This window comes from Homo sapiens, chromosome 19, assembly GCF_000001405.40.
Source record: "Homo sapiens chromosome 19, GRCh38.p14 Primary Assembly".
In the NCBI taxonomy this organism is placed as follows: Eukaryota; Metazoa; Chordata; class Mammalia; order Primates; family Hominidae; genus Homo; species Homo sapiens.
Genome location: NC_000019.10, coordinates 16,739,786 through 16,765,853, shown reverse-complemented (window position 1 = coordinate 16,765,853; position 26,068 = coordinate 16,739,786). Strand labels below are relative to the sequence as shown.

The 26,068-nt window shown below is 48.8% G+C and overlaps 1 protein-coding gene across 10 annotated transcripts in view; it reads right to left on the bottom strand.

Moving 5' to 3' along the window:
* NWD1 (NACHT and WD repeat domain containing 1) overlaps positions 1–26,068 on the bottom strand; it is a 98,117-nt gene that overhangs the window by 52,110 nt on the left and 19,939 nt on the right. For 8 of the 10 annotated variants that reach the window (XM_011527929.2, XM_024451466.2, XM_011527930.3 and 5 more), the window contains 6 exons: positions 21,136–21,433; positions 15,443–16,715; positions 6,426–6,629; positions 3,716–3,875; positions 1,909–2,026; positions 662–820 (listed from right to left, as the gene is read on the bottom strand). In XM_011527929.2, the coding sequence (XP_011526231.1) occupies positions 662–820; positions 1,909–2,026; positions 3,716–3,875; positions 6,426–6,629; positions 15,443–16,715; positions 21,136–21,433 (2,212 nt within the window). Of the gene's footprint in view, positions 1–661; positions 821–1,908; positions 2,027–3,715; positions 3,876–6,425; positions 6,630–15,442; positions 16,716–20,706; positions 21,434–26,068 lie in introns of those variants that run through there. The other 2 variants (NM_001290355.3, XM_011527934.1) reach the window with 2 other exon arrangements.

Sequence of the window (26,068 nt, the reverse complement as noted above, 5' to 3'; positions counted from 1 at the left end):
GTAGAGACAGGGTTTCACCATATTGACCAGGCTGGTCTCAAACTTCTGACCTTGTGATCTGCCTGCCTCGGCTTCCCAGAGTGCTGGGATTACAGGTGTGAGCCACTGCGCCCAGCCCTACCTGGCACTTTCTAAAGAAAAGTCCAGGGCAACAGGATGGGCCCTGCTTTGGTAGTATTCAGTCCAAAGCTCTCCCAGGCTCAATTTAAAATTCTAGGCCAGGCGCCATGGCTCATGTCTATCTATAATCCTAGCACTCTGGGAGGCTGAGGCAAGAAGATCCCTTGAGCCCAGGAGTTTGAGACTAGCCTGGGCAACACAGTGAGACCCTGTCTCTACGAAAAATAGAAAAATTAGCAAGGCACAGTGGTGCATACCTGTGGTCCTAGCTACTCAGGAGGCTGAGGTGGGAGGAGCATTTGAACCCAGGAGTCTGAGGCTACAGTGAGCTACGATTGCACCACTGAACTCCAGCCTGGGTGACACAGCGATACCACATGTCAAAAAAAATTCTAGAAGCACTGCTGGGGGAAAATTCACATGTTTAGACAGGAAAGGTATGAGAATTGATGAAAATCCAGCTCATGACTCAATGAGGAGAGCATGTTTCTAGAAGTCAGTGCCCGTCCTGGTCACTCCTATCCAGGCCATCTGGACTCACCCATGCCTCGGAGCTCCACAGCAGGGCGGCAGAGCTGGAGGGCTTCACGGACCAGGCCAACCTCAGGGGAGTCCAGGTGAGGGGCACACAGGTCAAAGTCATCCAGCAGGTCTTCAATGCCCCCAGAGATGCCCCGGCAGGAAATCCAGCTCATGCTGCCTGAGGGAGAGAAGGGGGGAGGATGTGGGAAGTGCCTACCTCCCTCCAGTTCATCCTGGGAGGTGGAGAATCATCTCTCCATTTCCTCCAGGGCATCTCAGGCTCAGCAGTAGTGACACTGGGGCAGGATCATTCTCTGTGGTAAGGGGCTGAACTATGCATTGTGGGATGTAAAGCAGCAACCCTGGCCTCCACCCACCAGATACCAGTAGCACTCCCACCCCAAGTGTGACAATCAAACATGTCTGCAGACATTGTCAAGTGTCCCCTGGGGGGGCAGAATCTCTTCTGGTTAAGAATCACGGGGATTGGTGAATGGATGGATAGAGAGAGAGAGAGAGGGAGATAGAAAGAATGTTGGGTGGATTGGTGCATGGATGGACAAACAGAAAGATAGGTGGGTGGATGGATAGAATGATGGGTGGATGGATGGATGGATGACCAGAAAGGTAGATGAATGAATAGATAATGGACATATAATGGGTGCATGGATAGATAGATAGAATGATGGATGGATGGATGGACAGACAGAAGGATGAGTGGATGGATGGATGGATGGATGGATGGTTATAACCAGCTCATGGCTCAATAAGGAGATCATAGATGGATGGGTGGATAAATGGATAGTTAGATGGATGGATGGATGGATGGATGGATGGATGGATGGATGGACAGAAGATGGGTGGATGGATGGATGGATGGATAGGTGGATGAACAGACTGACAAATAGACAGACAGACAGATAGGGTCTCTCATGATAAGGCAGGGGTTTTCACTCTATGCACCAACATTTGGAGCTAGATTATTTTCTGTGGTAGGGTGTCCTGTGCACTGTAGGGTATTAAGCAGCATTCCTGGCCTCCACCCACCAGATTCAAGTAGTGCCTTCTCCCCTAGCTGTGACAACCAAAACTATCTGCGGACACTGTAAGGCATCCCCTGGGTGTAGAATTGCCCCTTGTGAGAACCTCTGCCTTAGGAGGAACGAAGGATTTCCATGTTTGCCCTTCACCCTCCCCAGGCTCTAGAAGACTGGAGCGTGGTGCAGTCACCAGGCTCGGTCCTCTGAGATGGGGGGCAGCCCTTACCCAGAACCTCCTGTTTCAGCTCCTCCAGGCGGCCCGAGTGAAGCAGGTGATAGGGCAACTCCTTCAGCTTCCGCAGGTTTGCAACCGTATGTGAGAACCACAGAGGCTGCGGGGCCACCTGGCAGAGGAGAAGGGAGACTGCAGCTTGGACACAAACCCATTCATTCACTCCACGCACAAGCCCATTCATTCACCTCATGCTCCAGACAGTGCTGGAGTGGACGAGAATGCAATGGAAGACAGACATACCCCCATGTGCCCATTGGTCAGGGCTGGAGCAGAGGACGACATCTGGGACTCAGAGAATCAAAGCCAGAGGTCATGGGACTTTCTGGGAGGAATAGGGAATGTTTCCTGAAGGCAGAGGCATCGGAACTGAGCCTCAGAATTAAGTGGGCATCTATGTGGCAAAATGTGTCAGAAAACAATGGCATTCCAGGGCAAGGGAACAGCATGGGCAAAGGTCTGGAGGTGTGAAAGAGCAGGCTGAGTTTGGGAGGACTGAATTATACAAGTCAGGTTAGGGGATGCGGGTGGGAAATGAGAGTAGGGAGCTTGTAAGCAGCAGATCACGAAGGCACTGAATATCAGGCTGGGTAGGTCAGGCTCAAGACTGAGGGCACTGGGGAGCTATGGAAGGTTTTAGACAAGAGGCATAATCATAATCAGATTGGATGGTCAGAAGCATCCTTGGGAGGATGCACTAGGGCAAGAGACTGAGAGGCTAGGTGAATGAAAGGGGCTCAGACCATGTCCTGGAGAGGCAGGATGAAGCTGAGTCTGCAGGGACTCTGGGCACACAGGAAAGGATTTGTGAATGGGTCTCGGGGGGAGAAGAGAAGGGTCAGCACCAGGCTAGGTGTGGTAATCCCACCTGTAATTACACGCCTGTAATCTCAGTGCTTTGGGAGGCCAAGGCAGATCACTTGAGATCAGGAGTTCGAGACCAGCCTGGCCAACATGGCAAAACCCCGTCTCTACTAAAAATACAAAAATTAGCCAGGTGCAGTGGCACACACCTGTAGTCCCAGGTACTAGGGAGGCTGAGTGGGAGAATCGCTTGAACCTGGGAGGCAGAGGCTGTAGTGACCTGAGATCATGCCAGTGAACTCCAGCCTGGGTGACAGAGCAAGACTCTGTCAGGAAGGAAGGAAGGAAGGAAGCGAGGGAGGGAAAAAGAAAAGGCAGCACCAAAAAAAGAATAGAGCCTGGTCCTGCCTCCAGCCTCCCCAGTCCAGCAGGGAAGACAGAGAAAAAGAAACATCAAGCTATAACCAAAGAATTAAAAGTGTAATTTCCTAGTTGCAATCATTATACAACAGTTATATAAGATTTTAACATCAGGGAGAAGAGTCCACAATAACTCTGTACTTTGTTTGTTTGTTTGTTTTTGAGACAGAGTTTCTCTCTGTTGCCCAGGCAGGAGTTCGAGACCAGTATGGCCAACGTGGTGAAACCCCGTCTCTACTAAAAATACAAAAATTAGCCAGGCATGGTGGCGGGTGCCTGTAATCCCAGCTACTTGGGAGGCTGAGGCAGGAAAATGGCTTGAACCTGGGAGGCAGAGGTTGCAGTGAGCTGAGATCACGCCATTGCACTCCAGCCTGGGCGACAGAGTAAGACTCTGTCTCAAAAAAAAAAAAAAAAAGGAGTGGGGGGGACAGTAGAAGGGACATCTTGCCCTCTGTGCGGAAAGGAGAAGTAGGTCGGGAGGACATTTCGAGTGCAAAAAGGGGAAGGAAGGAGGTGAGCAATGCCAGGCAGGGTGGAGGTTGCAGGTGGGGAATGGGGGTCCCAGGTACCTCACCTTTCGGTCCAAGTTCAGTGGTTTCCCCACAAGTGGCAGAGTGATGAGCTTCTTGGTACCCTGGCTCCAGGTCCCTGAGAAGAAGTCGGCCAGGACGCCATGCCTCTTGGCTCTCTCGGATCCTGACAGGTAGCGCTCACGGACCACCTCGACCAGCTGTCTACAGAGAGGGTATACAGACTGATAGACCTGGGTGACCCATCAAGCTCAAAGGTGGCTGCTTGTCTTCCTGGAGGCAGTTCCCAAATCCCAAGCCATCCTAAACCACTCTGTTGACCACCTGTGCTATTTGATACATCACATCTATCTCTAAATTGGTCCGTGTTTTTTTTTTCCTTACATCAATTTACTTTCCTTACATACATTTCAAAGAGGAACATTTGAGCTCCTCCAAAATTTACACATAAAATAACTTACCACCTGACCCAGCAAATCCACTCCTGGGTATATACCGAGAATTAAGAAACAGGTGTTCAGGCTGGGTGCAGTGGCTCATGCCTGTGATCCCAGCACTTTGGGAGGCTGAGGCGGGTGCATCACCTGAGGTCAGGAGTTCAAGACCAGCCTGGCCAACGTGGTGAAACCCTGTCTGTACTAAAAAAAAGAATACAAAAATTAGCTGGGCGTGGTGGTGTGCTCTTGGGAGGCTGAGGCAGGAGAATCACTCCTCCCAGGTGGAGGTTGCAGTGAGCTGAGGTGGTGCCACTGCACTCCAGCCTGGGCAACAGAGAGAGACTCCAAAAAGAAAAAAGGAAAAAAAGAGAAAGAAGGAAAGAAAGAAAGAAAGAGAAAGAAAGGGAACAGGTGTTCAAACAAAACCTTACACATGCATGTTCACAACAGCAAAAACGTGGAAACAATGCAAGTGTCCATCCATAGACGAAGATAAACAAAACCTGGTCCATCCATACAATGAAATATTATGTAGCCATGAAAAGGAAGGAAGCACTGATCCCTGCTACAATGTGGATGAGCCCTGAGAACATAATGCTGAGTGAAAGAAGCCAGACACAAAAGGCCACATAGTGTGAGATTTCGTTGATCTGAAATGCCCAGAACAGGCAAATCCACAGAGACAGGAAGCAGATGAGTGGCTGCCAGGGGTTAGGGAAGGGGAATGAGGAGTGACGGCTGATGGGGACAGGGTCTCCTTTTGGGGAGATGAAAACGTTCTGGAACTAGACAGAGGTGAGGGGTGCAACATTATGAGTGTACTAAAATACCACTCAATTGTCAACTTTAAAATTCTGACTGGGCACAGTGGCTCACGCCTGTAACCCCAGCACTTTGGGAGGCCAAGGCGGGCAGATCACCTGAGGTCAGGAGTTTGAGACCAGCGTGGCCAACATGGTGAAACCCGTCTCTACTAAAAATACAAAAATTAGCTGGGTGTGGTGGCTCATGCTTGTAAACCTAGCTACTCAGGAAGCTAAGGCAGGAGAATCGCTGAAACCTGGGAGGCAGAGGTTGCAGTGAGCCAAGATTGTGCCGCTGCACTCTAGCCTGGGCAACAGAGCAAGACTCTGTCTCAAAAAATAATAAAATAAAATTAAATAAATAAAATAAAATGTGGTGAATTGGCCAGGCATGGTAGCTCACACCTGTAATCCCAGCACTTTGGGAGGCCGATGTGGGTGTGTCTCTTGAGCCCAGGAGCTCGAGACCAGCCTGGGCAATGTGGTGAGACCCCATCTCCACAAAAAAATTTAAAAATTAGCCAGGCATGGTGGTGCATGCCTGTAGTTCCAGCTACTCCGGAGGCTGAGGTGGGAGGGTTGCTTGAGTCCAGGAGTTTGAGGCTGCAGTGAGCCATGATGACAACCACTGTACTGCAGCCTGGGCGAGACCCTGTCTCAAAATACATAAAATAAAATAAAATAAAATAAAATAAAATAAAATAAAATAAAATGGTGAATTTTATGTTTCATGAACTTCACCTAGTTTAGTTTAGTTTAGTTTAGTTTAGTCTAGTTTAGTTTAGTTTGAAACAGGATCTCACTCTGTCACCCAGACTGGAGTGCAGTGGTACAGTCACGGCTCAGTGTGGCCTCAAACTCCTGGGCTCAAGTGATCCTCCCACCTCAGCCTCCCAAGTAGCTGGGACCACAAGTGTGTACCATCACACCCAGCTAATTTTCTTTTTTTTGAAATGGAGTCTCGCTCTGTTGCCAGGCTGGAGTACAGTGGTGCGATCTTGGCTCACTGCCACCTCTGCCTCCCAGGTTCAAGTGATTCTCCAGCCTCAGCCTCCCGAGCAGCTGGGATTACAGGCACGTGCCACCGCGTCTGGCTAATTTTTGTATTTTTAATAGAGACAGGGTTTCACCATGTTGGTCAGACTGGTCTCAAACTCCTGACCTCAGGTGATCCGCCACCTCAGCCTCCCAAAGTGCTAACACACCTAGCTAATTTTCTTATTTTTTTTGTAGAGATGGGGCCTCGCTACGTTGCCCAGGCTGATCTCCAACTCCTGGCCTCCAGCAATCCTCCTGCCCTGGCCCCACAAAGTGCTGGGATTATAGGCATGAGCCACTGCTTCCAGCCTCAACTCAATTTTAAAAATAAGTGAATTGTGTCAGAGTTCTAACTGGACTTGATTCCCTGGGAATGGTAAGTGAAGGATCTGATACTGAGAAGACCCCCGGCCAGTGAGTCCTCATTCTTGGGGTCCCACCCAGACAGTGTCGCTGCCACTGCTGCCTGGACCTACCTGTGGGCAATGGCCAGGAGGGTGAAGCCATCCACGGGCCGCCGGGCCAAGTAGTATCCCAGATCCCGACGAAGCCGCACCCACAGCAGGGGCGGGAAGCGCAGCAGCTCCTTGCTGGGCGGGGTCCAATCTCGGTACACATCCTGCAGGACCTCGTCGTCCAGGGACAAAACATCCTTCAGCTCCGCCTCCGAGAGACCGTGTCTGAAGGGAGGACCAGTGGGGCTTTGAGGCACATCTCATGTCTTCTGCATTTGGAGGATGCAGAATCCAAGAGAGGGAGGGATACAGCCACCCGCGCGGTGTCCAGCACATCACCTGGGATCAGCATTTGGACAGCGCCCACAAGGTACCAAGCACGGTTAGGGCAATACCCACCAAGGAAGACCTTTTCCGATTTTTTTTTTTTTTTTTTTTTTTTTTTTGAGACAGAGTTTCACTCTGTCGCCCAGGTTGGAGTGCAGTGGTGCAATCTCGGCTCACTGCAACCTCCGCCTCGCGGGTTCAAGCGATTCTCCTGCCTCAGTCTCCTGAGTAGCTGGGACTACAGGCGCCACCACGCCTGGCTAATTTTTGCATTTTTAGTAGAGACGGGGTTTCACCATGTTAGTCAAGCTGGTCTCCAACTCCTGACCTCGTGATCCACCTGCCTCGGTCTCCCAAAGTGCCAATCTTTTCCTCTGCATGCACACCTACAGAACCATAAATGGCCCGCTCCTCAACCTCGAAGGGGTCTGAGACAGACACTATAGGGAGGGAAGTGGTAACTCAAGGAAAATAATGCAGAAACCAACTGCACCTACCCCACTCCACCCTGGCCCACCAAGGCTTGTCTTTAAATTAGGATAATTGGGCTGGGCGTGGTGGCTCACACCTGTAATCCCTGCACTTTGGGAGGCTGAGGCAGGAGGACTGCTCGAGGCCAGAGCTCAAGACCAGCCTAGGCAACAAAGGGAGACCCCATCTCTACAAAAAAATTTAAAAATTAGCTGGGCATAGGGGCACACACCTGTAGTCCCTGCTACTCTAGAGGCTGAGGTGGGAGGATCACTTGAGCCCAGGAGGTTGAGGCTGCAGTGAGCTGTGATTACATCACTGCACTCCAGACTGGGCAAAAGAGTGAGGCCCTGTCTCTAAAATAAATACATAAATACATGAACAAATAAATACAAATAAAGTTAAACTGGTTAAAAATTAATAAAATTCAAAATGCGGTTTCTTGGTTGCATGAACCATCTTTCAAAGTTTTAAATTCAGTTTCTGAGTTGTGTGAAGCACCTTTCAAGTGTTCCATAGTTTTTGTGGCTTGTAGTTACCATATTGGTAATAATGTCATACCCAACACTGTACTCTTTCCAAAATTCTTTTTTTTTTTTTGAGACAGAGTCTCACTCTGTTGCCTAGGTTGGAGTTCAGTGGCGCCATCTCAGCTCACTGCAATCTCTGCCTCCTGGCTTCAAGCGATTCTCCTGCCTCAGCCTCCCATGTAGCTGGGACTACAGGTGTGCACCACCACGCCCGGCTAATTTTTGTATTTTTAGTAGAGATGGGGTTTCACTATGTTGGCCAGGCTGCTGTTCAACTCCTGATCTCAGGTGATCTGCCTGCCTCAGCCTCCCAAAGTGTTGGGATTAGGCGTGAGCCACTGCACCTGGCCTGCAAAATTCTATGATATGGTATCAGACAGAGCCTAGGAGATGTGCCCCTGGTCATGGGTGAACCGCTAGGTTGAGAGCCTATCTTCATCCCTGAAGACATCCCCTAAGCAATGCGAACCTCAGAGCGGGCACCTCACTTGGCACTCCCAGAGGACCCGCCTAGCCTGAATTGCAAAACAGGGCTGTGCATGGTCATCAGGCTTGCGTTTGAGCCTAGCTGGGAGACCTTGGTGAGGAATGTACCTTCTCTTTGCCTCAGTTTCCTCATCTGCCAAAAGCAAAACTGTTGAGGGCTAAGAAGAAAATGCACTAGTTCCTCTTTTTCTGAACTCTTATTCTGGCGAGTATGATCTCATTGGTCCTTCCAGTAGCCTTGGAGGATGGATGCTCTCCCAACCAGCCCCTCCATGCGGAGGAGGAAGTGAGGCTCCCAGAGGGCACAGGGCATGCTGAGTGCAGCGTTTCTTGGGCTCGCATGGTTGATGTTTGGGGTCAGATCATTTTTTAGGGTGGGGACCGTCCTGTGTGTTGTAGGGCAGCAGTCCCCAGTCTTTTTGGCACCAGGGACCGGTTTCTTGGAAGACAATTTTTTTCCCGCGGACCAGGGTAGGGGTGATGGTTTTGGGATGATCAAGTGCATCACACTTGCACACTTTATTTCTATTATTATTACATTGCAATATATAACGAAATAATTCTACAACTCCCCATCATGTAGAATCAGTGGGAGCCCTGAGCTTGTTTTCCTGAAAGTAGACAGTCCCATCTGGGGGTGATGGGAGACAGTGACAGGTCATCAGGCATTAGATTCTCATAAGGTTCAAGCAACCTAGATCCCTCATATGCGCAGTTCCCAACAAGGTTTGTGCTCTTATGAGAATCTAATGATGCTGCTGACCTGACAAGAGGGGGAGCTCGGGTGGTAATGGGAGTGATGAGGAGCAGCAAGAAGTGGCTGTAGATACAGATGAAGCTTCACTTGTTCGCCCACTGCTCACCTCCTGCTGTGCAGCCTGGTTCCTAACAGGCCACGGAGCAGTACCGGTACTGGGGGATGGGGACCCCTATTGTAGGATGTGTAGCAGTCTCCACCCAAGCCTCCACCCACTAGATGCTGGTAGCATGATAGACAGGCAGATGTATAGATAGGCATATAGATTATAGATAGACAGATTATATGGAGAGATAAATAAGAGATAGAGCAATAGATACAGAGATAGATAAACATAAAGATAAATAGACAGATGATAGATAAATAGATATAAATAGGCAGATAGACATATAGTTGACCCTTGAAGAACACAGGTTTGAACTGCATGAGTCCACTTATATGTGGATTTTCTTCCGCCTGTGCTGTCTCTGAGACAGCAAGACCAAGTCCCCTTCTCCTCCTCCCCTCTTCCTCCTCTTCCTCTGCCTACTCAATGTGAAGATGACAAGGATGAAGACCTTTGTGATATCCACTTCCACTTCATGAATAGTACATGTATTTTTCTTCCTTATTATTTTCTATTTTTTTGAGGCAGAGTCTTGCTCTGTCACCCAGGCTCAAGTGCAATGGCGTGATCTAGGCTCACTGCAACCTCCGCCTCCCAGGTTCAAGCAATTCTCGTACTCAGCCTCCCAAGTAGCTGGAATTAAAAGCATGAGCCACCATGCCCAGCCCCCCTTTATGATTTTCTTACTATCATTTTCTTTTCTCTACCTTGTTTTGTTGTAGGAATACAGTCTGTAATACATAGAACATATGAAATACATGTTCGTCGACCATTTATGTTACTGGTAAGGCTTCTGGTCAACAGTAGGCTATTAGTATTTAAGTTTTAGGGGAGTCAAAAGTTATACATCAATTTTGAGGTACGTTGGGAGACAGCTGGTTCCCCTAACTCCCAGTTTGTTCAAGAGCCAACTGTATATACAGAGATAGATTATAGGCCAGGTACGGTGGCTCACGCCTGTAATCCCAGCACTTTGGGAGGCCAAGGTGGGAGGATCGCTTGAGCCCAGGAGTTTGAGAGCAGCCTGGGCAACATAGTGAGACCCCATCTCTACTAAATAAATAAATAAATAAATAAATAAATAAGGCTGGATGTGGTGGCTCATTCCTGTAATCCTAGCACTTTGGGAGGCCAAGGTGGCAGATTATTTGAGGCCAGGAGTTCGAGACCAGCCTGGCCAATATGGCAAAACCCTGTCTCTACTAAAGATACAAAAATTAGCCAGGCATGGTGGTGCACGCCTGTAATCCCAGCTACTTGAGAGGCTGAGACATGAGAATCATTTGAACCTAGGAGGCGGAGGTTGCAGTGAGCTGAGATTGCACCACTGCATTCCAGGCTAAGCAACAGAGTGAGACTCTGTCTCAAAGAAAAAAAAGAAGAAATAAATAACTGGGTGTGGTGGCATGCACCTGTAGTCTCAGCTACTCAGAGGGGGCTGAGATGGGAGGATCGCTTGAGCCCAAGAAGTCAAGACTGCGGCGAGCTGTGATCGCTTCAGTGCACTCCAGTCTGGGTCAAGAGAGTGAGACCCTGTCCCCCCCCAAAAAAGAGAGAGAGAGATATTAATGATAGACAGGATCGATATAGATGAGAAATAGAGAGATAGATATAGAGATTTATTGATTGATTATAAATGACTAGATGGATAGAAATAGAGATGATAGATAAATAGATCATTTAAATAGGTGGATAGATTAAAATGATGTATTTGTAGATGTGGGATAGATATAGAGTTAGATAGGTATAGACAGATGGTAGAGAGATACAATGATAGATTACTAGAAGTGATAGAGATAGATTGAGACTATACATATTTATCGATGGGACATAGAGAAATATATAGATATATAGAGATAGACATAGATAGATAGATATGACGGATGGGTGGATGAATGGATGGATGGATGGAAGATAGAGATGATGGATGCAGGGAAGATAGAGATGATGTGTGGATGGATGGATGGATGGATGGATGGATGATAGAGATGATAGGTGGGTGGATGGATGGATGGCTATAGAGATGATGGATGGAAGGAAGATAGAGATGATGGATGGATGGATGGATGCTAGAGATGATGGATGGATGGAAGATAGAGATGATGGATGCAAGGAAGAATAGAGTGGATGGATGGATGGATGGAAGATAGAGATGATGGATAAAAGGAAGACAGATGATGGATGGAAGGATAGATGGACTTTAGAGAGAATGGGTGGAAGGATGGAAGATCGAGATGATGGATAGATGAATGGAAGATAGAGATGATGGATGGATGGATGGATGGATGGATGGATGGATGGATGGATGGAAAATAGAGATGATGGATGGGAGGAAGATAGAAATGATGGGCGGATAGACGGATGGATAGATGGATGGAAGATAGAGATGATGGGTGGATGGATGATAGAGATGATGGATGGAAAGAAGATAGAAACAATGGGTGGATGGATGGATGGATGGAAGATAGACATGATGGGTGGATGGATGGATGGAATATAGAGATGATGGATAGATGGATGGAAGATGGAGATGATGGATGGATGGATAGATGGATTTAGAGAGAATGGACGGAAGGATGGAAGATCGAGATGATGGATAGATGGATGGAAGATAGAGATGATGGACGGATGGATGAAAGGTCAAGATGATGGATAGATAGATGAATAGATGGATGGATGATAGAGATGATGGATGGAAGGAAGATCGAGATGATGGGTGGATGGATGGATGGATGGATGGATGGATAGATGGAAGATAGAGATGATGGATAAAAGGAAGATAGAGATGATGGATGGAAGGATAGATGGAATTTAGAGAGAATGGATGGAAGGATGGAGGATTGAGATGATGGATAGATGGATGGAAGATAGAGACAATGGATGGATGAAAGGTCGAATTGATGAATGGATGGATGGATGGATGGATGGATGGATGGATGGATGATAGAGATGATGGAGGGAGGGAGGGAGGGATTGATGGATGGATGAATGGATAGGGTCTCTCAGGCTAAGGCAAGGTTTCTTACTCTCTGCACTATCAACATCTGGGGCTGGATCATTCTCTAAAGTAGGACAATCCTTTGCACTGTAGGGTGTTAAACAGCATCCCTGGACTCCACTCAGTAAAGACACCAGGAGCACCACCCTGCTCAGTCATGACAACCAAAAATGCTTCCAGACACACTGTCTAGTGTCCCCTGTGGGGGGATGGGGGGCGTGGAGAACTATCCTGAGGTGACGACCTCTAGCCTAGAAGGATCTCAGGTCTGCTCCAAGAGCAAAGCTCTCACCATCCTGCCACATGGATCTGATGTGTAAGCATAACATATTTTCATGGAACTGGAGCAACCAAAATCATCCACCTTATCATCATGCTTTATAAACCACCTCCCCCGCCACCCCTGTGAGAGATCTGGCTTTACTAATTGGACCAGATATGGGACCAAGTAGGCCATTTGATTTCTGTCTCCCTGTACTTTGGAATTAGGACCCAAAGAAAAAGTCAGTAAGATGGCACCTGGTCACAGAAATATGGGCTCCTGATGCCAACTGTGGCTCAAGGCAAGCTGAAGTTCCAGAGGGGCCGAAGGAAGAGTCTACAAGAGGAGTTGATGTGCAGAGAGGACCCCAGAGGGAGAAGGAAGGAGAAGCTGCTCTGATTTTTATGACAGTTTCCATGACAACTCACTTCCTCCAAGTCAACTTCAACAGAATGGCCCAATGGGCCACCCCTCTATTCTGGAACATGCCCCAGTTGTTATTTGCACTGTTTTTGGAGACAGGGTCTTGCTCTGTTGCCCAGACTGGAGTGCAGTGGCATGATCACAGCTCACTGCAGCCATGACCTCCTGGCTCAACAAATCCTCCTGCCTCAGCCTCCCGAGTAGCTGGGACTACAGGTGTGAGCCACCACGCCCAGCTAATATTTTTACTTTTCACTGAGGCAGGGGCTCTCACTTTGTTGCCCAGGCTGGTCTTGAACTCCTGGGCTCAAGTAATTCTCCCACCTTGGCCTCCCAAAGTGCTGGGATTACGGGTGTGAGCCACCACACCACGCCGTATTTGTACTCTTATAGAGTGTAAGCCAGTCGGGAAATCTGGGATATGTCCCCTGGAGTCAGCTATAAGACAGACTTGAATTTCCCTAACTCTTCATTGGAAGGAAGCCCAGTGGCACAATTATGGCTTACTGCAGTCTTCAACTCCTGTGCTCAAGTGATCCTCCCATCTCAGCCTCCGGAGTAGCACCACCATGCTCAGCTAATTAAAAAAAATTGTTGTATAGACAGGGGCCTCACTCTGTTGTCTAGGCTGGTCTCAAACTCCTGGATTCAAGTGATCCTCCCACCTCAGCCTCCCAAAACGCTGGCATTACAGGAGTGAGCTACTGCACCCAGCATATTCTCTTATTTCCTACACTAGCATGAATGTGTTTCTATTTCTGGCAAAGAAACAGGCAGAAAGACCTCCTCGTTGGGTTGACCACCACCCTCTAGATGAATTTGTGGTAACCGACAAAGGTCTGAAATGGCACAGGCTGAGAAAAAAAAAAAACAACCCTAAAACTGAGAAGAGGCAAAACTATGTCGTCCAGCATTTTGGATGATGGTTTTGAGTGTTTGCTGTTGGCCAGTTGCAGTAAAGGCAAAGTTTTGTTCCTTGGCGTCTCTGCCAATTGGCAGAGGACAAACTCAGAGGAGGGAGTGTGGCTGCTTGGGTGCTTCTGATTAACCCCTTCCTCTCTGCTGCTTGTTATTTTTGCTTTTGCTTCCTTCCTTCCTTCCTTCCTTTCACTTTTTCTTCTTCTTCTTCCCTTCTTCTTTTCTTTCCTTCCTTTCTTCTTTCCTCTTTCCTTCTTTCCCTTTTTCTCTCTTTCTCTTTCTTTCTTTCCTTTATCTCTTCTTTCCTTCTTTTTTTTTCTTTCTTACTATCTTCCTTCCTTCCTTCCTTCCTTCTCTTTCTCTTTCTTTTTGAGATGGAGTCTTCCTTTGTCGCCCAGGCTGGAGCACAGTGGCACTATCTCAGCTCACTGCAACCTCTGCCTCCCGGGTTCAAGTGATTCTCCTGCCTCAGCCTCCCAAGCAGCTGGGATTACAGGTGACCGCCACCATGCCGGGCTAATTTTTGTATTCTTAGTTGAGATGAGGTTTCACCATGTTGACCAGACTGGTCTCAAATTCCTGACTTCAAGTGATCCACCTGCCTTGGCCTCCCAAAGTGCTGCGATTAAAAGCGTAAGCCACCATGCCAGGCCTCTTTCCTTCCTTCCTCCCTTCCTTCCTTCCTTCCTTTCTCTTTCTTTCTCTCTTCCTTTCTTTCTCTCTCCTTCCTTCCTTCCTTTCCTTCTTTCACTCTTCCTTTCTGTCTCCTTCCTTCCTGTCTGCCTTTCTTCCCTCTTTCTCTCTCTCTTTCTTTCTTTTTCTTGCTATATCCAAAAAGCAATATATGCTTGTTACTTTTGACTCCTCATCCATACCTGGCTGGCATCTCTGAGCAATGGCCCCAGACTATCATGACCCAAGTTTATTGCATTTTTTTTTTTTTTTTTGAGATCGAGTTTTGCTCTTGTTGCCCAGGCTGGAGTGCAATGGCGTGATCTCGGCTCACGGCAACCTCCACCTCCCGGATTCAAGTGATTCTCCTACCTCAGCCTCCCAAGTAGCTGGGATTACAGGCATGCACCACCACGCCTGGCTAATTTTTTGTATTTTTAGTGGAGACAGAGTTTCTCCATGTTTTGTCAGGCTGGTCTCCAACTCCCAACCTTGGGTGATCCGCCCGCCTCGGCCTCCCAAAGTGCTGGAATTACAGGTGTGAGCCACCACGCCTGGCCTAGTTTATTGCAATTTATAGCTCCGAGACTTTTACTAGGCTAAGCAACCATGTAGGCAGTCCTTTCTTTCTTTTACATGTGTGTATTTATTTTCCCAGCTTTTGAGGTATAGTTGACAAACAAAAACTGTATTTAGCTGGGCACAGTGGTGCATGCCTGTAGTCCCAGCTACCCTACTCGGCAGGCTGAGATGGGAGGATCACTTGAGCCTGGGAGTTGGAGACTGCAGTGAGCTATGATCATGCCACTGCACTCCAGCCTGGGTGACAGAGCCAGACCCCTATCTCTAAAAATAAAAATAAAAATAAAAAAATTATATTTTGCTGGGCACAGTGGTGCATGCCCGTAGTCCCAGCTACTCAGCAGGTGAGGCGTGAGGATCACTTGAGCCTGGGAGTTGGAGACTGCAGTGAGCTATGATCACACCACTGCACTCCAGCCTGGGTGACATAGCCAGACCTCCATCTCTAAAAATAAAAAAAGAAAACATAAATAAATAAATAAGAGTTTCAAAACACAGAGACTTACCGGGAAGACACAATGTAGCCCAGCACGTGGGCCACGAGGAGCTGCCCGTGTGTCTGCTCCAGGCGGGTGCAGAGTTGGTGCGTGGCTTCCTCTGCGGTGGTGGCCAGCGGGACAGGCACGGTGAAAGAGGCCCATTTCCGGGCTTCCTCAAACGCCAGCCTCAGCCGCCCTGGGTTCCCACACTCTGGGAGGCTGGCCCAGAGCAAATCTGTGTGCACCGGGCTCAGCGTCCTCCTTGCAGCTGCCAGCAGGAGTTGGATCATCTGCTGGCCTTGGTTTCCGGAAAGGGGCTTCACCTCCCAGTAGGCCTCCGGGTCCAGGAGCACCCGCTGCAAGGTGTCCAAAACCCCCAGTGCCCCCGAGCAAGCTGAGAGGATGAGGTGCACCCTCGGGGGGCAGTTGAGAGGCAGCCAGGGAACCCTCCGAGCATGGCGGACAGAGTCCAGGTCATCCATAGCATCCAGCAGGAGCACGAGAGACTCGAAGTTTCTGCAAGAGACAGTGTGGAGGAGGGTATGGAAAAACTGGACCACCCTGGTGTGGGCGTCCAGAACCTGGGCAGGGGGCAAGGGCAGCCCATAGGCCAGGCACACCTGGAAGCAGATGCTCTTCAGCAGGCCACGGGCATCTGAGCTCATTTGTGACGTCCCCAGCAGCCGCAGGACGGTCACTGTCTTGTGCCCCAGCAGCCTTGGCATCTGCTCAGCCAGCTTGCACATCAGGGCTGTCTTTCCAATGCCTGGGGGCCCAAAGAGTACCAGGGGGGTGTGCTGCTTGCTGTCATCGTGCCTGAGCTGCTGCCCAAGCCGGGCCAGGAGTTCCTGGCGTCCGCAGAAGGTCTGAATGACCTCCGAGCTCTGCCAAAGGTGGTGGCGGATCTCTTGGTAGAGCCACGCCAACTCCTGTCCGGCCGTATCCAGCTCACGGAGGCGTGTGAGGACCTGGTGATTGGCCCTCACCACAAACTGCTCACCCAGCTCCTTCAGGTAGCAGGCGTGAGTCTTGTTCTTGGGGTTCACCAAGTCGCGGCTCCACGGCAGGCGGTGGGTCTTGAGGACCCCTGGGTGCATGTCAGTGATGTGACTTTTGAGGCTGCTGAGAAGGTTCTGGGCATCAGCGTCCAGGCAGCCATCCGCGAGCCGGTCCACCATCCTAAGGGCGCAGTCTTCAAGGATGTGTTTGTGGAGGTCTTGGATCTCTCTAAGGAAGACGGTGGCTCCCTGTTCCCGGTCCTCTGAGCTCAGCAGGCTCCGCTCTATCTCCCACTCAATGACTGCCAAAGTGGGGAAGGTGGGAAGGAAGTGTGGTCATTATTGGGTCAGCAGCTGACCTAAATGGGGTTGCTGGGAGACCTGTTGTTGGGGGATGTGCATTGGTTCTCAAGATTAACGTGCACCAGAGTCTGACCTGGGGGTCTCGAAAAGACCCACATGGCTGGACCCCACCTCCAGAAGTGATTCAGCAGATCTGAGTGGGGCCCCGGAGTTTGCATTTGCAACAAGCCAAGGCTTGCTGGTCCAGGGACTGCACCCAGAGTTACACTAGTTAAGCCATTACTCTTATTCTTCTTCTTATTATTATTATTATTGAGACAGGGTCTCACTCTGTCACCCAGGCTGGAGTGGAGTGGCGCGATCTTAGCTCACTGCAACCTCCGCCTCCTAGGCTCAAGCGATCCTTCCACCTCAGCCTCCCGAGTAGCTGGGATTACAGGCATGCACTAGCACGCCTGGCTAATTTTTGTATTTTTTGTAGAGATGGGGTCTTACTATGTTGCCCAAGCTGGTCTCCAACTACTGAGCTCAAGCAATTCAACCTCGGCCTCCCAAAGTGCTGGGATTACAGGCGTGAGCCACTGCGCCCGGCCTGATTTAGCCATTATTAATCAAAGACCCCTCAGGGTAGGCAACACAGAGGTCCCATGTGAGGAGCAGTCACACTGTAAAACAATGCTGTCATCCTCAAAAAGTGAAACATGGAGTTACTATCACGCCCAGCAATTCCACTCCCAGGTATCTGCTGAAAATACCTGAAAACAGAGACTCCAACAAATATTAATACACCCTAGCTTGTAACAGCACCATTCACAATAGCCAAAAGACAGAAACAATCCAAACATCCATCAACGGGCTGGACATGGGGTCTCATGCCTGTAATCCCAGCACTTTGGGAGGCCAAGGTGGGCAGATCACCTGAAGTCAGGAGTTTGAGACCAGCCTGGCCAACATGGTGAAACCTTGTCACTACTAAAAATACAAAAATTAGCCCAGCGTGATGCCGCACGCCTGTAATCCCAACTACTCAAGAGGCTAAGACAGGAGAATCACTTGAACCCGGGAGGCAAAGGTTGCAGTGAGCCAAGATCATGTCACTGCACTTCAGCCTGTGCAACAGAGCGAGACTCCATCTCAAAAACAAAACAAATCAAAACAAACATCCATCAACAGATGAATGGATAAACAAAATATGGTCCTTCCACACAATGGGATACTATTCGGCCATTGAAATGGATGAAGTACTCACAGGTGTTAAAATGTGGATGAACCTCAAAAATATGATGCCAAGTGAGAGAAGCCAGACACAAAAGGCCATGTAGTGTGAGATTCCATTGACATGAAATGTCCAGAACAGGCAAATTAATAGAGACAGAAAGCAGATTGATGGTTGCCTGCGCTGGGAGAGGGGAGATGGGGAGTGTTTAATGGGTAGAGCTTCTTTTGAGGTGATGAAAATGTCTTGGAGGGCCAGGTGTAGTTCATGCCTGTAATCTCAGCACTTTGGGAGGCAGAGGCTGGACGATCACTTGAGCTCAGGAGTTCGAGACCAGCCTGTGCAAAACGGCAAAACCCCGTCTCTACAAAAAATAAGTTAGCCACCTGTGATGGCGTGTGACTGCGGTCCCAGCTACTGGGAAGGCTGAGGTGGGAGGATTGCTTGACCCCAGGAGCTGGAGGCCACACTGAGCCGTGATCGTGCCACTGCACTCCAGCCTGGGCAACAGAGTAAGACCTTGTCTCAAAAAAAATTAAATAAATAAATAAATAAATAAATAAATAAATAAATAAAAAGAAAATGTCAGCCAGGCGCGGGTGCTCATACCTGTAATCCCAGCACTTTGGGAGGCCAAGGCGGGCCGATCAAGAGGTCAGGAGTTCGAGACCAGCCTGAGCAACATGGGGAAACCCCGTCTCTACTAAAAATACAAAAATTAGCCAGGCGAGGTGGCGCATGCCTGTAATCCCAGCAACTTAGGAGGCTGAGGCAGGAGAATTGCTTGAACCTGGGAAGCAGAGGTTGGAGTGAGCTGAGATCGCACCACTACACTCCAGCCTGGACAATAGAGCAAGACTCCATCTCAAAAAAAAAAAAAAAGAAAGAAAAAGAAAATATCTTGGAACTAGACAGAGGTGGAAGTTACATGACACAGTGTTGGCCATTGAAGAACATGGGCTTGAACTACACAGGTCAAGTTTCTTCTGCCTCTGCCACCCCTGAGACAGCAAGACCAACCCCTCCTCTTCCTACTCAAGGTGAAGATGATGAGGATGAAGACCTTTGTGACTGATGATCCACTTATGTTTAATCAACAGCAAACATATTTTCTCTTCCTTGTGATTTTTGTAATAACATTTTCTTTTCTCTAGCTTACTTGATTGTAAGAAAACAGGATATGATAGATAGAACATGCAAAATATGTGTTCATCGACTGTTTTTTTTTGTTGTTTTTTGTTTTTTGTTTTTAGACAGAGTCTTGCTCTGCTGCCAGGCTGGAGTGCAGTGGTGCGATCTCAGCTCACTACAACCGCTGCCTCCCGGGTTCAAGTGATTCTCCTGCCTCAGCCTCCCGAGTAGCTGGGACTACAGGTGTGCACCACCATGCCCAGCTAATTTTTGTAATTTTAGTAGAGACAGAGTTTCACTATTTTGGCCAGGCTGGTCTTGAACTCCTGACCTCGTGATCCGTCTGCCTCAGCCTTCCAAAGTGCTGGGATTACAGGCATGAGCCACCGCACCCGGCCAACTGTTTATGTTGTTTCTTTGTTTGTTTGTTTGATACGGGGTCTCACTCTGTCACCCAGACTGAAGTACAGTGGTACAATCTTGGTTCACTGCAATCTCCGCCTCCTAGGCTGACGCAATCCTCCCACGTCACTCTCCTGAGTAGCTGAGACTACAGGTGTGCACCACCACACCCAACTAATTTTAATTTTTTTTTTTTAAATAAAGGTGAGGTTTTGCCATGTTGCCCAGACTGGTCTCCAACTCGGGGCTCAAGTAATCCACCCACCTCAGACTCCCAAAGTGCTGGGATTACAGGCATGAGCCACCACACCTGGTCAACAATTTATGTGATTGGTGGGCTATTAGTAGTTACGTTTTGGGGGAGTCAAAAGTTATACACAGATTTTCGACTGTGCAAGGAGTTAGAGTCCCTAAACACTATGTTGTTCAAGGGTAGACTGTATTTTATTTAATTAATTAATTTATTTATTTAGAGACAGGGTCTCACTCTGTCACCCATGCTGGAGTGCAGTGGCAAGATCATAGCTCAATGCAGCCTCCAACTCCCGGGCTCCAGCGATCCTCTCATCTCAGCCTCCTGAGTAGCTGGGGCTACAGGCATGCACCACTATACCTAGCTAATTTTGTTTTTGTTTTTGTTTTTGTTTTTTGAGACAGGTCTCTCTCTGTAACCCCGGCTGGAGTGCAGTGGCATGATCTTGGCTTACCACAGCCTCTGCCTCCTGGGCTCAAGCAATCCTCCTGCCTCAGCCTCCTGAGTGGCTGGGACTACAGGCATGCACTACCACATTTGGCAAATTTTTAAAAGTTTTTTTTTTTTTTTGTAGAGATGAGGTGTCACTATATTGCCCAGGCTGGTCTCGAACTCCTGAACTCAAGTGATTCTCCTGCCTCGGCCTTCCAAAATTCTGGGATTACAGGTAGGCACTACTGGGCTCAGCCTGTCAGATTTTAGTAATACAAATCCTGCATCCTAGGAACCCCTCCGTCCCAGGCAAACTGGGATGGTAGTCGCCCTGCATTGCTCCCCCTGATATGGTTTGGCTGTGTCTTCACCCAAATCTCATCTTGAATTGTAGCTCCCATAATTCACACGTGCTGTGGGAGGGACCTGGTGGGAGATAATTGAATCATGGGGGATAGTTTCCCCCATACTGTTCTCGTGGTAGTGAATAAGTCTCACAAGATCTGATGGTTTTATAAGGAATTTCCCCTTTCGCTTGGCTCTCACTCTGTCTTACCTGCCACCATGTAAGATGTGCCTCTTTGCTTCTCCTTTGCCTTCAGCCATGATTGTGAGGCCTCCCCAGCCATGTGGAATTGTGAGTCCATTAAACCTCTTTCCTTTGTAAATTACCCAGCCTCAAGTATGCCTTTATTAGTGGCATGAGAACAGACTAATACGGCCCCTGTGCCAGGAACCTCCCTGGGAGACAAGAAGAAAGAGCCAGCGAGGAGAGGAAGATCCTGAGACCAAGATTGATCAGGAACATGGCTGAACTATCTTGGATCAGTAAAACAGCCTTTCTCAGAGCCGAGGGACCAGAGGTTGACTGGTTTGGCATTTGCAAGAAATGCAGACTGTTGCATTTTTGCCAACAGGGGATGGATATTCTGAACACGTGGTCAGTTTCTTGTGGGTCTCCAGAGGGGAGTCCCTGCGGCCTCACCTGACCGGTGGTAGTGCTGCCACTGCTCCTGGGTGATGAGCCCCAGCCTCCGGGCCTCCTGGGCTCCAGAGCGTAGGACAGAAGTTAAGGTGGCCTCCTCTGGTTCACAGGCCTCCCCAGTACCTGGTGCCTGCAGGACGTAGGTGGGAGGAAACGCATTCTCGTCCCTCTGGAAGTATCGTGCCACCAGCTCCAGGTCACTTGGCCTGGCAGTCAGATGGTCCCTCAATACCTCCCACTCCTTCTCATCGATCCGCGAGGGAATCAGACAGGGGCCGTACTGATCACCGATGAGGGCCTGGCAGAGAGGAAGTCACAGATTCAAATCTCACTTTTTTTCTTCAGACAAGGTCTTGCTCTGTCGCCCAGGCTGGAGTGCGGTGGTACAACCATGGCTCACTGCAGCCTCAACCTCCTGGGTTTAAGTGATCCTCCCACTTGGACCACAATCACATGCCACCATACCCAGCTAATTTTTAAGTTTTTATTTTCGGTACAGATAGGGTCTCACTACATTACCCGGGCTGGTATTGAACTCCTGTACTCAAGGGATCCTCTCATCTCAGCCTCACAAAGTGCTGGGATTACTGTCGTGAGCCACTGTCCCCAGCCACAATTTACTATTCTTTCTCCAATTCAATATATAAGTAAATGACTCTAGCTGCTTTTGTGGGTCCTTATTTCCTTATGAGGGTTCTTATGCCATGTAAAACACTTGTATTAATAAATGTATATCGGCCAGGCGCGGTGGCTCACACCTGTAATCCCAGCACTTTGGGAGGCCAAGGCGGGTGGATTACCTGAGGTCAGGAGTTCAAGACTGGCCTGGCCAACATAGTGAAATCCCATATCTACTAAAAATATAAAAATTAGCTGGGCGTAGTGGTAGGTGCCTGTAATCCCAGCTACTTGGGAGGCTGAGGCAGGAGAATTGCTTGAACCCGGGAGAGGGAGGTTTCAGTGAACCGACATGGTGCCACCGCAGTCCAGCCTGGGCAACAGAGTAAGACTCTGTCTCAAAATAAATAAATAAATAAACAAACTAATAAATAAATAAATAAATATGTATGGTTTCTTTTCCTGTTAATCAATTTTATGTCAATTCAATTCTTCAATCCAACCAGCACTCTGAGAAGATGGAGGTGAAGTTGACCGCCCTTATAGCCTGGAGCCACCAGAAGTCACGAGGGTCAATAAAGAATTGTCCCCTAGGCTAGGCATGGTGGCTCACGCCTGTAATCCCAACACTTTGGGAGGCCAAGGCAGGAGGATCTCTTGAGCCCAGGAGTTAGAGACTAGCTGGGCAACATAGTGAGACCCCATATCTATAAAAATTAAAAATTATCAGGGTGTGGGGGTGTGCATCTGTAGTCTCAGGTACTCAGGAGGCTGAGGCTGGAGGACCGCTTGAGCTCAGGAGTTCGAGGCTGCAGTGAGCTGTGATCGCACCACTGCACTCCAGCCTGGGGGACAGAGTGAGACCCTGTCTCTAAAGAAACAAATAATGGGGCCAGGCAAGGTGGCTCACGCCTGTAATCTCAACACTTTGGAAGGCTGAGGTGGGCAGATCATTTGAGGTCAAGAGGAGTTCGAGACCAGTCTGGCCAACATGGTGAAACCCCTACTAAAAATACAAAAATTAGCCAGGCATGGTGGCGTGCAGGTGTAATCCCAGCTACTAGGGAGGCTGAGGCAGGAGACTTGCTTGAAGCCGGGAGGCGAAGGTTGCAGTGAGCCAAGATGGCACCACTACACTCCAGCCTGGGCGACAGAGCAAGACTCTGTCTCAAATAAAATAATAATAATAATAATAATAATAATAATAATAATAATAATAGGCAACATAGTGAGACCCTGTCTCTACAAAAAATTTTTTTAAAAATAGCCAGGCATGGTGGCACATGCCTGTAGTCCCAGCTGCTCGGGAGCCTGAGGCAAGAGAATCGCTTGAACCCTGGAGGCGGAGGTTGTGGTGAGCCGAGATTGCGCCATTGCACTCCAGCCTGGGCAACAAGAGCGAAACTCCGTCTCAAAATATATATACAATTTATCTCGATAATTAAGATTTAAATTAAATCTTGTGGTGGTTCTCCATTCTAGTTCTGGTCCTTCCAGGGAGAATCAGAGGTGAAGCAGGGCTAAGAGGACCCTAAGTCCAGCTCTCCCCTTTTATTATCATGGAAACAGGGGCCTGGGGATGGAACAGAGTTAGTCCAAGGTCACAGGATGGCTTAAGGGCTGACCACGGAGAAAGGGAGAGATCAGAGCTCAGTATGAAAGCGCCACATTCTGAGTACAGTCAGCCCACAGATATTTATTTATTTATTATTTATTTTATTTTTTTGAGATGGAATCTCCCTCTGTCGCCCAGGCTGGAGTGCAGTGGCACAATCTCAGATCACTGCAACCTCTGCCTCCTGAGTTCAAGTGATTCTCCGGCCTCAGCCTCCTGAGTAGCTGGGATTACAGGCGTGAGCCACCACGCCTGGCTAATTTTTATATTTTTAGTAGAGACAGGGTTTCGCCATGTTGGCCAGGCTGGTCTCGAATTCTTGATCTCAGGTGATCCGCCTGCTTCAGCCTCCCAAAGTGTTGGGATTACAGGCATGAGCCACTGCGCCTGGCCTATTTACTTTTTTTGAGACACAGTTTCACTCTGTCACCCAGGCTGGCGTGCAGTGGTACAATCTCAGCTCACTGCAACCTCTACCTCCCCAGTAGCTGGGACTACAGGCGCCCACCACCACACCCGGCTAATTTTTGTATTTTTAGTAGAGACTGGGTTTCACCATGTTGGCCAGACTGGTCTCAAACTCCTGACCTCAAATAATCTGCCCACCTCAGCCTCCCAACGTTCTGGGATTACAGGCAGGAGCCACCGGGCCCAGCCAACCTTGGAGTCTTAGCCAAAGAGGCAGGCATCAATCTAGAATCAGACCAAGGTCAAATGGCAGCTGTTAGAGTGCTAGGAAGAAAGGGTAAAACATGGGTCGTACGTAGCCTGGGGAGTCAGGGAAATTCACCTGAGCTGCAGAATAAGACATGAAAAGAGCCAGGCATGGTAGCTCATGCCTGTAATCCCAGCACTTTGGGAGGCCGAGGCAGGTGGATCACCTGAGGTCAGGAGTTCGAGACCAGCCTGGCCAACATAGCGAAACCCCATATCTATTAAAAATATAAAAATAATTAGCCGGGCATGGTGGTAGGTGCCTGTAATCCCAGCTACTTGGGAGGCTGAGGAAGGAGAATTGCTTGAACCCAGGAGAGGGAGGTTTCAGTGAACCGACATGGTGCCACTGCACTCCAGCCTGGGCGACAGAGTAAGACTGTCTCAAAAAAAAAAAAAAAAACACAAAAACAAAACAAAACAAAAAAACCAAAAACATGAAAAGGAGTTTATTAGGCAGAGTATCTTGCAGGCAGGGGGAGCAGCATGTGCAAAGGCCCTGTGGCAGGAAGAAGCATGGCTGCTGTAGGAAGGGCACAGCGACTAAGGCACTGGCAAGAAGAGGGACAGCGAAGGGGGATAAGGCTGTCCCCTCCCCCTTTTCTTTTCTTGAGTCAGAGTTTCACTCTTGTTACCCAGGCTGGAGTGTAATAGTGCAATCTTGGCTCACTGCAACCTCTGCCTCCCAGATTCAAGTGATTCTCCTGCCTCAGCCTCCCAAGTAGCTGGGATTATAGGCACCCACGACCACAGCTGGCTAATTTTTTGTATTTTTAGTAGAGACAGGGTTTCGCCATGTTGGCCAGGCTGGTCTTGAATTCCTGACCTCAAGTGATCCGCCTGCCTCGGCCTCTCAAAGTGCTTGGATTACAGGCGTAAGCCACTGCACCCGGCCCCCCTGCACAAGATTCTGTAGGGCATGGGAGGCCATAAAATTTTGGTCTTAATGCCAGAACCACACTTGGAGTAGGTGCAAACCGGAATCCAAAAGAGTTAACCTGGGCCAGTGCGGTGGCTCACACCTGTAATCCCAGCACTTTGGGAGAATAGGGTGGGCAGATCACTTGAGCTTAGGAGTTAGCCTGGGTAACGGAGCAACTCCATCTCAAAAAAAAAAAAAAAAAAAAAATAGAAGTCTGGGCGCAGTGGCTCACGCCTGTAATCCCAGCACTTTTGGAGGCCGAGGTGGGTGGATCACCTGAGGTCAGGAGTTCAAGAGCAGCCTGGCCAACATGGCGAAACCCTGTCTCTACTAAAAATATAAAAAAATTAGCCAGGTGTGGTAGTGGGCACCTGTAATCCCAGCTACTCAGGAGGCTGAGGCAGGAGAATTGCTTGAACCCAGGAGATGGAGGTTGCAGTGAGCCAACATGTTCCCACTGCACCCCAGCCTGGGTGACAGAGTGAGACTCCATCTCAAAATAATAATAATAATAATTTCTTTTCTATTCTTTTTTCTTCTTTTTTTCTTAAGAGACAGACTCTTCCTCTGGCACCCAGGCCAGAGTGCCACGGTACAATCATAGTTCACTGCCACCTCAGACTTCTGGGCTCAAGGGATTTTCCCATCTCAGCCTCCGGAGCAGCTAGGACTACAAGCATGAGCCACCACCCCAGCTAACTGTTCTTTTTTTTTTTTTAGAGATGGGGCCTTGTTACGTTGCCCAGGCTGGTCTTGAACTCCTGGGATCACACGATCCTCCGGCTTTAGCCTCTCAAAGCGCTGGGATTACAAGTGTGATCCAAGGTGGCCAGCCTCATCTCTTTATAACTAGTCAGTTTCAGGGATTCTGTTATAAGCAACAGAAAATAGACTAAGACACAAGCCAACCACAGACCAGAGGTTATATGAAGGAAACAGGTGGTAAAAAACAAAACAAAACAAACTGCTCCAATCTGTGGGATCAGAGCAAGGGAAATAGGAACAGTTCCCACCAGGAACAACTCTCAGAGCTCTGGAGACACTGGGGCTGCTGATAGCCCAAG